Consider the following 18,523-nt stretch of genomic DNA (forward strand, 5'->3'; position numbering starts at 1 on the left):
GAACCATAGCCAAACACTAAGTTTACTCCACCCATGCCTTAACTTATATATTAAGATGAGAAGAGAGGTTCAATTATTTTTTCCTTTTAAGGTAGAATATATACATCTATGTCAACACATAATTTTTAAGTATGAGGAGGAAAGTATCCTCTCTCCCACCACAAAACCCAGGCCAAAAAATAAGAAGAAGAAGAAGTTTATCTGAAGACATAATCGTGAACTCATTTCTCATTAAATCAGAATGGCTCATAAGTTAGTAACACCATGATAGGCTGCATTAATACTAAGATAAGACAAATGGTTAAAGCCAGGTATCAATAATATAAGGCAGTCAAAAATCTAGGTAAGCCAAAAGATGTTTATTAGTCTACTGATTTTTTTTACATTTCTATAGAAGTTTATTTTAATCTTCCCATATGAAATAGACAGAATCTGTGGAATTATTATGATTTTTAATGAATTTTTAAATGCTTATTTTACTACAAAATTCACTGTGATTAGTCCCTTAAGTAACTTGTAATATTTCAAACAGCATATGCCTGGAATAGTTCACATTTCAACTTATTATTTTAGAGTTGTCAAGACACAATCTAATTCTAATAGGAAAATATCTGCTGGCTTCAAACAGCACTTAAACACAAAGAAGGAAAGTTAGAAGTCAAGAAGAATCATTCTGAGATAAAGGCTGAGTAGAGCACAAGATGAGAAATCAACTAGAGACCTTATCAGGATGCAGTGCTGCACTTTGCTGCATTATCACTGACTGTAACCTCTCTTCCAGCTCACAGGCAACCCTCGACTTCTCTGGGACTAAGTGGTTGCTTTAAAAAGTTCTTGTGTCATATTTACGTTTTCCTACGACCCTTATCAGAAGCATGACGTACTAAAGTTACATAATTTGCACTCTCCAATTTACCCACCCAACTACACAACCCAAGAGAGATAATCAGAAATGTAAAATGCCGAATTCATTAAAAAAATGAGATTGATTAGGATTTTAAATGGACCAGTTAGTTGATTGTTAATGGCATAGCCATAGGTAAATGGCATCAAAACTATACTCCTGATAACTATAAAAGGAGTAAAACAGAGTTACTTTTCCAAACAACTTCTTTAATAAAATTATAATAAGTTCCTAATTTTAAAATAAGTTGTGTTACAAAAATAAATACATTTCTTCATGAAGCTGTATTTCTCCCATAGAATACTCTAAGTGGCATTTCATTTCCAAAGCTGGCTCAATACCCACTTAAACCATAATCTATTGACATATATATGATAAGGAATGAAATATGGTAAAAGTACTTGCAATGCTTCAAATGCATATTCATAATTCAAGTAAAAGGACAGCAGCCTAGCAAAACAGAACTCAAAAAATGGGGTCCACATCACCCAGAATAGTCACACAATTATATACATGGGCAACTTTCTCATAATAGGAACAATAGCTTTTCTTAGGTTCTCAAAGTGGTTGTTCATGTATCCAATAAAGAAAACTGTGCCACAAAAAAACCACCTGCTTCCTACAAAGCCCTCAGGTAGAGTTTATCAGTGATATAAGGCATCTTGATGGGTTATGGTCTACAAATGCATATAGAAAATAACTTCATAAATAGAAAACTGCACAAAAACCTTCCAGAGAAACTAAGTGAAGATGATCCTGGAGAAAAGAACACATCTCAAAATAGATGGGGTGTGAAGTGCCCACATAATATGACACATAAGTTCATGTGCAGTAGGAGCTGATGATCCCAGTGACACTCATTGTCAAATAGATTTTGACCAATCAATAGTGTTTGTACAGCTGACCCAGCTTCAGAAGCAAACACACCAAATGTTTATGTTTCCAAGAGGTACCACTTAAAATTCTTTCCCATACTAGTCAAATCACAAGGGCAAAAGTTTACAACACTTTTGCTACCATTACTTTAAAAAGGAAAATCCATCTTTTATCAACATAAAATTCAAACAAACAAAAATGTCTATTTAAATGACCCAAACATGTAGTATGAGTGAAGATACCTTTTTTAATAATTGTGATCAAGAAAATTTGGATTTCTTTTTATATAATTTTTAATGTGACTTGCAACTTAACCCAAAAGTTTCTATAACTGATATAACACAGTTCAAATATTATTCTTTTCTTAAATGAGAGTTTATTGCTTGTTTGTTTTGGGGTTTTGTCATAATTAAATTTGAGCTGCATAGATCTTAAGGCTGTTTTAATAAATAGTGTAATTTCAAACTTAAGCCTATCTAAAATATTATTGTCTACCTGTTCATCTCAACACATGAATCCACAGCTAAGCCATTAAGGTACATCATTTCTTTTACCTCTCCCAAAACCTTATACTTTTTAACACATGAGGAACTAGTTTGTTTGTTTTTTTTTTTGTTGTTGTTGTTTTTTAATAGGAATGCTTTTCACAAGAGAGTGCCACTTACCCCTCCTGCCTTCAGCAACTTTCTCCTAAAGTCCTCTGTGGGGTTGTTGAAAGTTAGCTTTTCACAGCGGAGGTGATTCACTGGTGGATGGCCTTCAAGATGCAGGAATAAGTCATAATCAAAGCGGACTTTCCTAGGTTCTTCCTGGAGGTTAACAAAAATTATGAAAGAAAAAAGAGAGTGAGGCATAAGTGAAATTTTAAAAGCAAAAATTTACTCCTCATAAGAAATAGAAAAGAACTAAGACATCTAACAGCTAAACTGTCAAAGTAGTACTGGGAAAAAAAAAAGTATCATGGAATCATCAGTGAAACAAAATAGAAATGTCTGACAAATTAGTTTCTTGTGTTAGGGGAAATGAAATAAGAAAAACTTCTCTTCTTCCCCATGATCTTTCAGGTGACAGGATACCAGCAACATAGCCACCCAACTAGAAACCAAGCACATTCCTTCCTCTTCCCCACCCCAGTACACTCACCATCAAAGGCTGCCATTTTCTCCATAAATATTTCTTCAACAAGCCCTCTAACTCTTACTACTAGGCTTTTACTCATGGCCCAAACTATAAACTCTCTACTTTGGGATATATTCTCTTCAATTCCTCCTCCATTCAGGCCTTAAGATTATCTATATGAAATAAAAATCTAGCCATTTTCACTTCCTAGTTAAAATTTCAACAGCTTCCAATAGCCATTGGGCTAAAAATCCTAATCTCACTTGAATGTCACATAAGGGCCTTCATAATCTGGCTCTTGGCTTCATATTCCACCATTCCCCTTCTGTCCATCTGATGGCCTAGCAACATCCCATTACTGGTTGCTTCCCAGTACCTACTGTGTTCTAGGTTACCTCTGGTTTCATTCTTGCTTTGCATTACTACCTTCACTGCCTACCTCCATTTCTCTACCTACTGCTTTACCTAGATAACTTCTCACCATTCCTAACTCAAGATTTCACTTTTGGAAAACCTCCCCTTAACTCCCGACTCCCCACTGCCTCTCCTCTACTATGTATGCATCTTTCTCTCACCCTTGCCACGTCTTAGAATAATTGCCTTCTTATTATCACCATTTACCCTGCTGGATCAGAAGACTGTTGAAAGTAGGATCAATGTTTGAATCATCATTGTGCCCTCAAAGACTAGTTTATGCCTATACACAGTAGAAATGCAGTGAGTATCTGTGAGATTAATAAGAATGGAATTTTTCTGAATAAATAACTAGGACAAAATAGCATCCTATGCAAAAGAATACAATAATTAGAATTTCCGATACCCAGGTTCAACTCTCAAGCTGTTACTTAAGTTGACTGAACATTTATCCCTCTCTACACATTGATCTTTAGCCACGCAAGGTGAAAATACAGACTCAAGATAATAATGACATCTCATTTAATTCTCGCTGCTCTCTTTGGGGCAGGTGTGAGCCTTGTTTTATTGTTATATTACTAATAAATGATGAAACAAAATAATTTGAATCCATTTCTTTTGACTCAAGGGTCTTTGCACCTGAAACTCTCCGAATATAGGAATTAACTACTCAAAATTCATGGTTTCCACCTCCTCACCAAACTTCCCAAATCATAATCTCCACTCATTTCCTCAGTACCCCTTCACTTCCACTACAATCTGACATGAAATCTACTTTTCCTCTCTCTTATCAGGATGCCATTCTCTCCTGGTTTTCCTCATAGTTTACTGGCTATTCCTTCTCAATCTTCTTCAAGGACTTTCTTCTCTTTCTTCACTGACCTTAAATGTCCTTTACCTTTCTGCAAAGTTTCCCAAGGAGATGACACCCATTCACAAGGAGTCAGTTCCACCTGTGTGACAGTGACTCCCCCAAGTGTATCTCCAACCCAGCTCTCACTGACTGCCATATACATGTGTCCACAGGTTGACTTACGGCAGCATCCAATTCATGCATTATGTTAAACTAAAGTTACCTTCATATGTGTCTTTTGTCCTATCCTCTGTTATCTTGGAATACAGCAATTCTAACTGCTTGCCAAGGTTAAATTACACAAAAATCATTCCCAACTGTTACTTCTTCCTCACTCACTACAGTCAAATTTTCTCTAAGTTCTATTTAGTATTCGTCCTTATGAACTTTCAGATCTACCTATCCTTTCCTCTAAGGCCTACTGTCCTAGCTTAGACCACCACCATTCTTCATTTGATGTCCTCCCTGATTTTGAACTTACCTCATTCTACTTCCCACAGTGACCAGAGAGTGATCTTTCTAACACAAAAATCAGATTACAGCTTTCCACTGATATAAAAGCCTTTAATGGTTCATCATTTTCTGCAGTAAAATCCCACTTCCTTGGAATAACCATTGCAGTCTCTTACTACCTTTCCTATATTTCTTTTGATTTCTTACTATACTGTTTTTCCACAACTTTGAAGCATCTGCAGTTCCCCAATACTTCACATTAACTCATTCATTTGGCCTTTCACAAGTAGTGCTCCCCACACCTGAAATGTCCTCCCTCCCAGCATAGCTTCCCCTCTATTGCCTAGTTAATGCAAACTCATTATTCAAGACCCAGCTAAAGCATTAATTCCTCTGAAAGTCTTTCTTACTCTCCCAATATAATCTGAATTAGATGTCCCTCATGGCATTCCTCTATTAATGTAATTATCACATTTAGTTATGATTTTTTATTTATCTGTCTATCCTCTAAGTTATAAAACAGAAGATGTAACTTTAGAATTAATTTTAAAAGGAGGGCAGTTTTCTGCCATGTAACTGGGAGCATAAACTGGTAAAGCCTTTTTGGTAGACATCTTGGCAATATCTATCAACATACCAAATATATATAATGTTTGACCCAGTAATTCTACCTCTAAGAATCTCTTCCATAGAAATATTCAGATATAAGTACAAAAATATACTATTAAATGTTCATGGTAGCATTGCTTAGAATAGCAAGAAACTAAGAATGATCATCATTACCACATAACACCATTCAGGTGTTTAAAAATACTGACTTTGAAAGGCATATTGCTAACTGAATTAAAGGCAAGTCACAGAAAAATATTAAATCATGCCCCTGCCAATCTCTACGCTGACACACATTTTATCTATGCAAATACATGGAGGGAAATCTGGGAAGACTGTACCAAATAGTCAACAATCATTAAATGTAGTCAAAAGACTAAAACTCCTAAGTTCTATTCCATATACTTTTACTAGGAAAATATATACTCCTATACACTTTCTTAAAGAGAAAAACATATTGAAGAATACACATTAATTACCAGCATAAAAAGAATGAGGTAATATCAACATCACTTTATAGTCTACAACAGTCTAAAACAGAACAAAAAACATCACTTTTCAATAAAACCAATGGTAAGCACCACAGAAAATGACTCTCTGAATCCTGAGTATGATTTTTTTAAAGATTTTTTTTAAGTAAGAAAAAAGTACTCATCAACTTGTGCTCTGGCCAACTGAATATCTTCTCTTAGAAGGCAGACATCGACATTATGTCAGTCTGTGCTCCTTAGAAAACATTCTTCTTCAAAGTTCAAATGAGAAAGCATGTGCTTGCTCTCTATATATAAATAATACATTTCCTAGAGGTGGAAATTTGTTTTTGGCAATATCAAGTTACCCTCTCTCACTCTGCAGAAGCTTCAGTACTTGACATTTACTCTCTCTTTTCTGAGATCAGACTGAAAGAAAGAAGCCTGCGATCCTTTCAAACATAAATTGATTATGTTTCAGTGTCCCTGTTGGTTTAGAGTTTCTGAAACACACAATTCTCACAAATAGGGTTGTTTTGTTGAGCACAAATACAAAATAAGACAGCATTAACATATACAAACTCAAGAGAAGTACTGACACTCTACCACCCCTCTTGACCCTGACAGCTCAAATAAATGAGCAGAACTGAAGACGAGCTCATTAGAGAAGCAGGAAAAACACAGGATGGGGATGTGACCAAGGACAGGATATCTTTAATACGTGGAATTAAGACTCTTCCATCATTACCTGGAATTATTTTTTCTGCTTTCCCTCATTCCTGTGAAAACTCTGAACAACACTTTTTCATAAACCATTTGATATGGTTTGGCTGTGCCTCCACCCAAATCTCATCTTGAATTGTGGTTCCCATAATCCCCACGTGTCTTGGGAGGTAATTAGATTATGGGGGTGTTCCCTCATGCTGTTCTCATGATAGTAAGTGAGTTCTCACAAGATCTGATGGTTTTATAAGGGGCTTTTCCCCACTTTGCCTGCATTTTTCTCTCCTGCCACCTTGTGAAGAAAGACGTGTTTGCTTCCCCTTCTGCTATGACTGTAAGTTTCTTGAGGCCTTCCCAGCCATGCAGAACTGTGAGTCAATTAAACCTATTTCCTTTATAAATTACCCAGTCTCGGGTATTAATAACAATGTGAGAAGGGACTAATATGCCATTACTATAATGGATGTTTATTCTTCAAGACAGAGTTGTATAAACTCCAGGGATAAATAAAATAATAAATACGCAAAAGAAAGAAATGAACACTCTGAAGCAAGAGCCTAGACCTATTAAATTTTTACCAATGGATCATTTCAGTAACATGAAAAATAAAAAATATATCCAGCTGGACCTTGGGGAATAAGCCAGACTCAGAAAGATGAGTACTGTCTAAGTCCACTTACATGAGATATCTAAAACAGATATCATGTAAGATTTTAAATTCATAAAATCAGAGACTGGAACGGTGGTTACCATGGGCTGGGGAGAGAGGAAAATGAATTGTCAATCAATAGGCATTAAGTTTCAATTAAGTAAGATGAATAAGCTCTAGAGATCTGCTGTGCATTGCAACTATAGTCAACAATAAGGTATTGTACACTTAATACACTTAAAATTTGTTAAGAAACTATATCTCACATTAGGTGCTCTTACAAGTTAAATTAGAAAAAATAAAGAAACAAATATACCTAGCTCAGAGACCTAGATCAGACTATAGCAAATATTTGGTTTCTAAGACATCCTAAGAAAACAAAAAAGTGGCAAAGCAATAATTCCTTTTTTAATTAAGAAATTAGTAACATATAGAAAAGTACTTAAAAATGCTATATCCATGTGCCTTCTACTGAGATTAAACAGATAACACTTCCAGAGATATGCTTTATCTTTTAAAGAAATAAAATTTGGCCAGTTGGGGTGGCTCACACCTGTAATCCTAGCACTTTGGGAGGCAGAGGTGGGCAGATCACTTGAGCCCAGGAGCTCGAAATCATCCTGGGCAACATGGTGAAACCCTGTCTCTACAAAAATTACAAAAATTAGCCGGGTCCGTGGTGGTGCATGCCTGTGGTCCCAGCTACTTGGGAAGCTGAGGTGGAAGGATCACTTGATCTCAGGAAGTGGAGGCTGCAGTGAGCTGAGACTGCGCCACTGTACTCCAGCCTGGGTGACAGAGTGAAACCCCACCAAAACAAAACAAAACCAACTTTATATATGTAAGCTTCTTCATTCCTCTCCTCCAGTAACTAATGCCCTTAAGTTCCTGTGTTGTCATTCCAACATATGCTCTTATACTAAATACATACCTCTCCAGAACACCATTACTCATTTCAATAATTTCTTTAAAAAATACACAAATGATATAACCATGCACATATATTTCTGCAACTTTTAAGTCATCATTTTTTGAGATTTACTCATGTTGCCACATTAAGTACTGTACAGAATTCTATGGATTACATAATTACCATTTATTAATCCACATCTCTACATAGGGCCAATTAGGTGTATCCTACTTTTCTATATTACAAACACTGAAATATATATGTATTATTGTGTACATGTGAAAACAGCAATCATTATTATGTATGAAATTTTAAAGAAAGCCTAAAACTAGAAAATAGAAATAAGCTAATCTATATACTAAACAGAAAATCTACGATGTTCCAAATGTGTCTATTTTATAATGGCCACAAAGGAAGAGATGTTTTTCATCTCATATGCTGCTTTCTTCCTTTATATTTTAAGAAAATAAAATCCCTCACAAAATGAATATATGTTTTACAGTCATAATGACTACCCAATGTGCCTTCATTATATCTTGCTTTTACTCTGTTCCATGAATTTCAAGAAGACTGAAGTGTGTGTGTGTGTGTGTGTGTGCACACGCATGCGTGTGTGTGCGTGCGCGTATGGTAGGGAGTGATACTTGCTGCCTCTTCATCCTTTACTTGTTTTCTTCTTAAATCTGGCATATGGGGAAATTCCAGTTATTTTTGTAAAGCAGGAAACTGAGCAATTCATAAAACAGATTCCTCTGTTCAACTCCGAGCTTGTACAAATGACCAGAAGAGTTAAAAACAAGAAAAGAGAGAAGATACTTCATTGCATCATTATTTCAAAACTGAAGTCAATGCAATGTCAAACTAACTTTGCTGGTGGGAAGACAGTGATATAATCATAACCATTATGGTCTTCTCATAAGAGATCATAATTGCCTATTCTTTAATTTCTTTGAGTTAAGAACTTTGCTGGCTTGAAGGGCTAGATTATTCCTATGGTGTAGCCCGATCCCTAGATGAAATTAAAACACTGGCTATGAGGATGTGACAAGAGGGAAGAAAAGCACCATATGATCTTCATCACTTAAACTTCTAAGATATTAAAAGGGTAGTGGGGAATATGGGAGATAGAGACAGGCTCTAAATTCCTTCCCACAAACATACCACTTAAATTAAAAATACACTGAAAAGTGAGCAAAATGAGATATGAACAGTCACTTCTCCAAAAAAAATACAAATGAACAACGAGCACATGAAAAGATGTTCAAACTCATAAATCATCAAAGAAATGCACATAAAACCAAAATGAGGTATACTTCACATCTACTAGGATGACTATAATAGAAAATAACAAGTAACAAGTATTGGAGAAATTGGTAGTGAAGGAAAAACAGAAGAAATAAAAGAAAGCCAAAAACCATTTTCTTAAGGGAAATTGAACTTGAAATGAGAAAAATGAGCACTTCAATATGAAAGTATATCACGTCAACAGACATAAATACATCTCGACAAATTTGATTTGATGACAAATATGTCAACGATTCAGTGGTATCACCACTAAGAAAGATAATCATTATTCTAGCAAAGAGTTGTTGCTAGAAGGCACAGAAATTAGGAGCATAGCCAATGGAGAGAAAGACCTAGATCACGAATCTGGTTTTAACACTTTCTAACTGCTGAATTGAGGACTGAGACTGCTATAAGTTAAAAAGGCCAGTGTGACACTGTTCCAGTGGAAGGGATTGCACATTAAGGAGTGGCTTATCAGTGGTTCTCTTACTTACTGAGCATCAGAAGGACTAGCAAATATGCAGATTCCTAGGCCCTGCCTCCAGAGATTCTGATTTGATACATCTGGGTAGAATTTGAGAATCTCATTTCTAACCTGCCCTTAGGGTAATGCTAATGCTATCCAAAGAACCATATTTTACTGAGCACTGGTTTGGATAACATGACATTCTATTTGCGTAGTTCCTTAAAAGAAAAAAAAAGCCAATTACCTGACTTTTCAGCAGGTTTTAGAAATTATGATATCTCTGGAGGAAAAATAAGGAATATGATATAATAATTAGCATTTTGAAGTGCTTATCTATAAGTTACTATTCTAAGTACTTTGCATAAGTTTATTTTATCTAATCCTACTAACCACCTTATGAGGTAAGTACTCTTATCTCCTCATTTCATAAATAAGGAAAGTAAGCCCCACAGAGGTTGACCAATTTGTCTGGTATTATACAGTCTGTGTGTTATGCCACATATGTACTGCTAAAAACTTTTTTTTTTTTTTTTTTTTTTGAGAAAAATAATGGAGCCTCACTCTGTCACCCAGGCTGGAATGCAGTAGTGCGATCTCGGCTCACTGCCATCTCCGTCTCCCAGGTTCAAGTGATTCTCTTGCCTCAGCCTCCTATGTAGCTGTAATTACAGGCATCCACCACCATACTCGGCTAATTTTTGTATTTTTAGTAGAGACGAGGTTTCACCATGTTGGCCAGGCTGGTCTCGAACTCCTGACCTCAAGTGATCCGCCCGCCTCGGCCTCCCAAAGTGCTGGGATTACAGGTGTGAGCCACCGCGCCAGGCCTGAAAACTTTTAAATCCAGTAAAATCCATATATCTGAAGTTGAAATAACTATATACATGTATGGTGTGGGTACCAGCTAAAGATAAAATGAGAGTATTCTTTGCAAGCCTCAAAAAAATTCTACAGACATGAAAATGAGAAAAGAAGCATTTTACTGAAAAACTATAATTCTTCTTTTCTATTTTACAAACATATTTATCTTTTCCAAAATGGTAATCACTCCTCTCTTTAAAGGAACACTTAATGAATTTCACATAATCTGACTTCATATAATTAAAATTATCTTCTTCTAGCCACTTCCTTGATAATTAAGGGTAATGATAGCCAAAATTCCTAGAAGACAAATTTAACTTTTATTTTAAAATCATCTAGTGACAGAAGTGCTTATGAGTCAAAATTATTTTAAACATCATTTGGCTAATGGTGGATCGTCTACTGAAAGATTAATGGGTAAAGATTACATACCTTGTTTTTAAAATAAACTTCAATTGGCAAAATGAAACCAGCATACCCAGATTCTTCTACTTTGTAAGGTGGATCTTTGCACACTGCAACATTAAAAAAGAAAATAGGTAAGATGAGAATAATAGACAAAAAGACATTCTTCTTTTAAAAAAAAAAATCCCATTCTACCATCTAGATCACACGCAATTTTCATAGCCCCTTGCCAAACTCCCAGTTGAGTCTCCGATCTATCCTTTATTTCTTCTCCAGAAACTATAACAATAATTGCTCTTATGTAAAGCAGATATGTAAGTCATTTATTCAAATCTTGGTGGAGAATAGCTCATCACAGTCAACCATGATTATTAATGAGTGAACTTCACTTGTTATTACCCTGCCCAAAAGCTTTAGGGAAACTGATGATTGCTCCCTATGACCCAAAGTTTGAAAAGAACTGTAAGCTTCCTAACAAGAGTATTATCTGCATCTAGTCTTTGATGCAAATCACTCCCCACCTTAACTTCTGACTTGTCTGAGATGTCCTGACAAGGACATCTTTTTTTTTTTTTTTTTTTTTTTTTTTGAGACGGAGTTTCACTCTTGTTGCCCAGGCTGGAGTGCAATGGTGTGATCTTGGCTCACCACAACCTCCGCCTCCCTGGTTCAAGCAATTCTCCTGCCTCAGCCTCCCGAGTTAGCTGGGATTACAGGCATGCGTCACCACACCAGGCTAATTTTGTATTTTTAGTAGAGATGGGGTTTCTCCATGTTGGTCATGCTGGTCTTGAACTCCCGACCTCAGGTGATCTGTCCGCCTCAGCCTCCCAAAGTGTAGGGATTACAGGCATGACCCACCATGCCTGGCCTAGAGATGTCCTGACTTCTATGCCATCCTCTTTCCTTAGAAAATCCCAAACCCAGAGTTTCTCAATGATGCATAACCTCCCTCCTTCACCCACCCAAAAGGAATGTTTACTAAAATACCAATATACATGTAAACACTTAAGATCTAATCACATCATAAGAATACATAAGAAACAATAAGGCTTTTATTTCTCATGGAGTTAAAAGGAAGCAAGACTATTAGGCAAGCTCTTGGGGAATGAGAGACCCTAAGAAGCCAAACAGGATTTCATTCCACTAAAATTTCAATTAAACGAAAATCAGTCACAAGCCAACTGAAACCATTCTAGTTAAGACTGCATTTTGGTGGTATCACAAAGTAAACATGTACATGCCAAATATCAAGGCCACACACACTGATGCCCTGAGTCCTCTTCAGCAGCCCCAGTTTACCTGTCCTTTTGTCACCTACCAAAACCCCTCTGCTTCATTCCAATGCATTTCCCCCAAATGTGCCCAGCATTTCCCACCAGTGCCTGGTCCTCCTTCTATCCCTTCCACCACACCTTGAAGCTACTCTTAGTATCCTCTGCAAGTTCAAATTCTACTTTCTTCACAAGATCTTTCTAGACCACAAAGCATTACCATCTCTTTTCCTTTTATCCTCCCAAAAAGTTAACTGCCTGAATCAGTACCTTGACACTGAACAGAGTTCCTTATGACCATATTTTGAAGGATCTTGTCTGCTAATTTCCTTTCACTTCTCAAGGACAGGAAGCACATTCACCTCAAGAAGATAGAGTGTCAAGGGCTCAGGCGACAGCAGCCCAGAATACTTGGGTACCAATCCATGATCCTCCTCAGACTAGGCGAGCTACCTCTGCAAAATTATTTCATCTTAGATCTCTGGGTTCCTCTTCTAGACAATCTGAAGACTAAACAAGGTGACCGTTACGAACTGAATGTTTGTATTCCCCTAAACCTCGTAAACTGAAATCCTATCAGGAGGTAGGAACTTTTGAAGGTGATTAGGTCATGAAGGTGGAAACCTCATGAATGGGATTAGCACCCTAGAGAGCTCTCTTGCCCCTTCCTCTATGTGAGGACATGGTGAGAAGATAGCAGTCTGCAACTCTGAGGAGGGCCCCCACCAGAATCCCACCATGCTGGCACTCTGATCTGGGACTTTCAGTCTCCAGAACTGTGAGAAATCCATTTGTGTTGTTTATAAGCCATCCAGTGGATGGTACTTTGTTAAAGCATCCTGAATGGGTAAGCACAGTGATGTGTGTAAAAGATGCAGCACAGGGCCTGGCGCATAAGTTCTCAGTAAGTGACTGAAGCCAGGGAGGAAATCTAAACATAAAACACCCAATTGCCATGTAGCCTTTTGGATGAAAATAAACAGGATGCAGCAAGCAAGAGCCCTAGATTTGGGTCAGAAGACTCAGGTCCACAGCCCTGGATTGAATATTCTCTAGACAGCCTACATTTTCTCTCCCTTTAAAGAAGAGGAAACACCATCTACACAACTGAAGGCACAGCCATCGACATACAAGGAGACTATATGTAAGGAAACAGAAGCGCGAGGCATTTTTATTACAGAAATGATGTTGATAATGTACCTGGAAATTGGTTAGACATTCCACAAGCAGAAATATGGTTACAAAAAGGTAAACTGAAGCCCACCTTAGGAAAATTGCCCCAAACTGACATCCGAAGAAGTAAATCAAGAATGAGACATCTCACATGACCTTATAAGTTTCTCTAATAGAAAAACGAAAACGTGAAAAGATCCAGAGTGGCTTCAGTCTTGCATTCACTGACCACCTGTCAACCGATCATGAATATTCAAATATTGTGAACACTGGAGACAAGTGAGAGAGTCTCACTAAACGCATTGAGCAGCCCCCACCCCACCTTAGCAAGAAGGCTAGTGTTACGCTTATGACACTTCCAGGCTGCAAAGCCCCTTTTCAGAACAGCAATTTCAGTGTCAGGTTGCTTGGGATTAATCATGCCAATGTCATTGGAAGGTAGTTTATTTTGTGGGCTGCTGCACATGCCAGAGAAGTTATACCTGATCCTCTATATACCCTTTAGTATAATTCATTTTCTCTATTCTGAATGCAAATTGCTCCTATTAACAGAAACAGCTGTTAATGAGCACATCTTATCGTTGAATATCTTTGGATTTTTTTTTCCCCACCCTTTAAAGGAAATGACTTGCTACGTACTAATATTGTATAGAAGTGTGATTTTATAAGAAACTGTTTACCAATTCATATAATTATTTTTAAATGCAACAATTTCATCAATAACAATGAACAATGTCTGTAAACCCCTGAGTTCTTAATTAGAAGCAAACAACAGGAACTTTTTACACACAATAAACAGGCTAGAAAATCAGTAGCCATGTAAATAAAAAACTTACAGTTCTAATCTGAAGAAAGTCAAATTAGGGGAAGTTGTTTATTTATTTGGGTATTTTATGATCAGAATTAGTATGAGTTTCTTAGTTCAAAAGAAACAGAGGTTAAAACTTAGAAACATTTTAGCCAGTAGGGATACTACATTAGATATAAAGCAATTCTTTTTTAAACAAGTAGAACCATGTTTGGGAGGGATCACCTTCTGTCACTTGCAACACTTCTTCATTGAGAGTCTCTTCTCTCACTGCATCAAGTTTATGATAGCTAAGCATTCTAAACCCTGAAACTAATTCTTCCTCTTGATTGTTCAAGAATCAGATCATCCTTAAGCTCTATGTCATAAAAGGCCAAGTTTCAGAAGCTACTGAATGAATATTCACCTTTAGAAAGCCATTAAAATCTTTAGGTGACAATAAAATGGGATAATTAACATTTACTTTTTAAATTCTCATGTTCTATTATATGCATATGCATTCTCACATATTAATTCAGGCAAAATCATTAAAAGCTTTTTTCATCTGTAAATATCCAGCCCAGATGTTAGCTCTTTCAGAACATCTCCCTTGGCTCTCTTCCATAATCTTGTTGCAATGAACAGGTCAGAAGGTAAGTCATTTCCCTCTCAGACTCCTCCACTAGACAGACCCCCTTCAAAGTCAGCAACCACAATAATTATTCATCTTTGCAAGGCCTGACACTACCATTGAGCCAAATAATATGTACCCAACAAATGTTTGTCAAATTTAACTTTTAAAAGACTCATGCTACCCTTCACTGATTTACCACTGCCAAAGAAGTTGTTTTTCCAAAAGAAGTGGTGAGTTGACAGTAACCCATCAAATTCTTCTCCAAACTCGCTACAATCAACATAAACTTTTAAAGCTTTTAAAAAATTGGCACAGGTGATAGAAAAGTGTTGCCACAGAGGAAATTTTTCTTGAGTACTGTGGAACTGGTCCTAGTTCTGAGAGCACCACATGTTAAGCAATTGAGTTAATCAACTGGGCCAGAAGATCTCTAAGGCCATTTTGAAACTAATATTCAACAGCCGTAAATAACCGCTCCCCTTCTCCTCTCCATCCACACATTACTACCCATGTACTCCAAGACTCTAATTGGGAGAGGTTTTCAAAACTCTCTTTGTCTAATTAATCCCATGTACCATGTAAGGTCTATTAGGATACTATAATGAAAATTCATGCCTGAGAGAAACAGACCAAAGTTTTTGTTTGTTTAAAAAGAAGTGTAATTGGGTTTAATTGCATTTTTCCCTGAAATGTCTTTTCAAAATAACAGACACAATATAGATTCAAATATATAATATGTAGTATGATGCTAACCATACATTGACCAATAACCTATTTAATTTTTAGTTGGAAAACATGTACACAAGGAAGAAAAACACATGGAAAGGGGGAAAAGAAAATGATCTGGCAAATTTGCAATAAGCAAGGACTTTTAATTAGTTAGAAATAAGTCAAACCCTTACTTATTAAAAGTCCTTACTGAAAATTTTAATATTCTCGTTTAGAAGTAAAAGATTTGACGAAGAGCTATGCTTGGTACAGAGAAATAAATGCTCTGTAAATGAATAAATATATTTGTGCTTATATAATAAATTACTTATATATATTCAATAAATAAATGTAATTAATAGGAACTATTTTTTTAGCACCAAAAGAAAAAACGCTGCCAACTCCATAAGACCTTCATTTAAACTTTAGAAGTATTATTAGGCAACAGTTTTTTCCCGAAACCTCAGGAAAACAGCTGGTAGATTCCTCTCCAGAGCATCCCTTTACCCTATTTGTTTTGATGCTATGATTTATGGCCATCTGAATACTTTTGTTAAGAACATGGCCCAGTTGCCCATTGATAATTATTGGCTTTACTTTATTTACTGTGCAGAGAGCCCTTCAGGAAGGAAACACATCAAACTCTCTCTATATATAGACTGGTTATTACTACTGCTTTGTGCCAAATGTCCCTTCCAGCTTTAGTATTTTGGACTCCCTCACTTCCTGCTTCACTTCTACCACATCAGAGCCTCCAGGAATGGGGCAAACAAGATCCTGTTCAGCCCATCTCTCCGCACCCAAACTGTTCTGCACAAGCATCTGGAAGTCTAGAGCCAGCGTCTGAAAGTCTGAGCATCAGAGGGTAGCTTACCGCACCTACCACTACAAGGCTTTACAGTCAAGACATTTTGAAAACAAAAATCAACAGTTGAGTTTTGTTTTTATTTTTAAAAGCACACACAAAAAGATTCACCATTGATTTTATTCATCCCACTTCAAAACAGATTATTCCTAAAGAACAAAATTTTAAAAAGTTTTCCCTCTTTTGTGTTTTATTTCCTCCATTTCCTTGAACAAGAATTAAAGATAACATCAACAAATACATTGAGTTGTATGTTGAGTTGTTCTCACCTTTTGGATCTTTTAAAAAATTCAAATGCAATTCTAAAAACCTAATTGCTTCCTATACAATAAGGAACTGTAGCCACCCAATATAACTGTCTAATTAACGTTCATAAAGTTTTAAAGACACAAACTAGATACAGTTAGCGGAGAAGATGCAGACCACCTGTCCACCTCCTCTGGACTCACCACTCAAGGCCTGACTCAATAGCACCACCTCTGGAGAGCCTTCTGCCAATACTCAAAACAAAAAATGGTCATTTCTCTCTTCTACCTTTTTCTCATTGCATCATATTAGCTAATCCTAATACATCTGCTACCATCAAGTCCCATCCTCATCCCTACTTAATTCAGAGCTTTCCAAAAGCTAATGCTGTTTCCCACACCTCCTCTCGTTCCTTATCCCAGACCATCATTTATGAAATTGAGTAAATTTGTGAAACATAACTTTAGCATGAGTTTTAAAAGAAGGGATAGAGTAAGACTGACAGTTGAGGATAAAGTATACAAGGCCTGGGCAGCAAGCAGAAAGTGTGAACAAAGGCATCAGGAGAGTAAAATTCAATATAATGAGACAGTCGGTATAAGCAGAAACACTGAAAACAATGAAACAACAGACAATACAAATAAAGTTTACATTTGTATAGAGAACGTCATGCTACACACACTCAGAAATTCATGTCAAAAGTCCATGAGGGGAAAAATGGATTGCACTCGTAAAGGAGGGATTATTGAATTTGAAATGTTACAGAGAACCCCTAGATTTGGAATAAGAATTTGAGACTCCAAATTGGCTATATTGCAAAAATCTTAATGATGATACATAAAAATTACTTCACTTGTTAGTAACTTGGAATGTTTACTTATGTATTCAGTATATCCCTGGCTTCTCTTTCAAGGGGGTGGGGGGGAGGAGAAATTTTCTTTAACATACGCACAACATTTTCAGCTTTCTAAGGAGTTTAGTCATTAGAGTTAGCAAAGCCCATGTAGCTGAGGTTAAGTCAATACATTTCATCTTGAGGGAATATAACAGCTATGTTAAAACAGGACTGCTTTCACAATCATTTCTTCAAGGAACGTATAACAAATAAGCCAGCAAAATTCAGAAGTTTCCCAAAACTAGGTAATATTATTAATTGCTAGGAAATACTAAATATAATTTCTCAGGCTTACATCTTTCACTAAAATTGATAGTGCTTCTCCTAGCAACTTCCCCCAAGTTCCTTCAATGTAACTCAGTATACAGAATTGTTTCAAATGATTAGCCTAGTGGACACAGATGTCCAGGCTAATATGATGGGAAATAGAAAAACTGTATCTTCAGAGAAGGTTCAACCTAGAAACAGACCTAATTTTTTATTGAAAATAATACAAATGGAAAAATCTTGAGACTTGTATTCCAAGAATTATTATCATTTTCTTAAAGTTAAACCTTGGGCAAAATATTCATATTTCAGAAAGTCCATCTGGAAAAGCAACACTAGCTACACAGAAAATGATCTTCTAGGAAAGTAACTAAGAACTGTTCCCATATTTGGTGGGAACATTTTCATTTCAGTGTGTACTACTACATCATAAAAGTTGGTCATCTGAAACCCCAGTTCTTCTTGGTGGCTTTTTAAAATAAAATATATAAAAAACCATTGAAGAGTATCACTTCCTAAAACAATCGCCTTTTGATTTCTGTAGGTAGCAGAAAAAACAAACCTTGGGACAGCCCTCTGGCATCAAAATTTTACCCAGGCTTCCATGTACTACTTCTGGCCGAGCCATTGCTAAAACTGGAACTGTTTTTTATTTAGAAAAAAAAAAAGAATTTT

The 18,523-nt window shown here is 36.4% G+C and overlaps 1 protein-coding gene across 2 annotated transcripts in view; it reads right to left on the reverse strand.

Moving 5' to 3' along the window:
• MLLT3 (MLLT3 super elongation complex subunit) overlaps positions 1-18,523 on the reverse strand; it is a 280,831-nt gene that overhangs the window by 104,009 nt on the left and 158,299 nt on the right. For both annotated transcript variants that reach the window (NM_004529.4, NM_001286691.2), the window contains exons 3-4: positions 11,027-11,109; positions 2,446-2,589 (exon numbers count right to left, since the gene is read on the reverse strand). In NM_004529.4, the coding sequence (NP_004520.2) occupies positions 2,446-2,589; positions 11,027-11,109 (227 nt within the window). The remainder of the gene's footprint in view (positions 1-2,445; positions 2,590-11,026; positions 11,110-18,523) is intronic.

The sequence above is a fragment of the Homo sapiens genome, chromosome 9 (genome assembly GCF_000001405.40).
Source record: "Homo sapiens chromosome 9, GRCh38.p14 Primary Assembly".
Taxonomy (NCBI): Eukaryota; Metazoa; Chordata; class Mammalia; order Primates; family Hominidae; genus Homo; species Homo sapiens.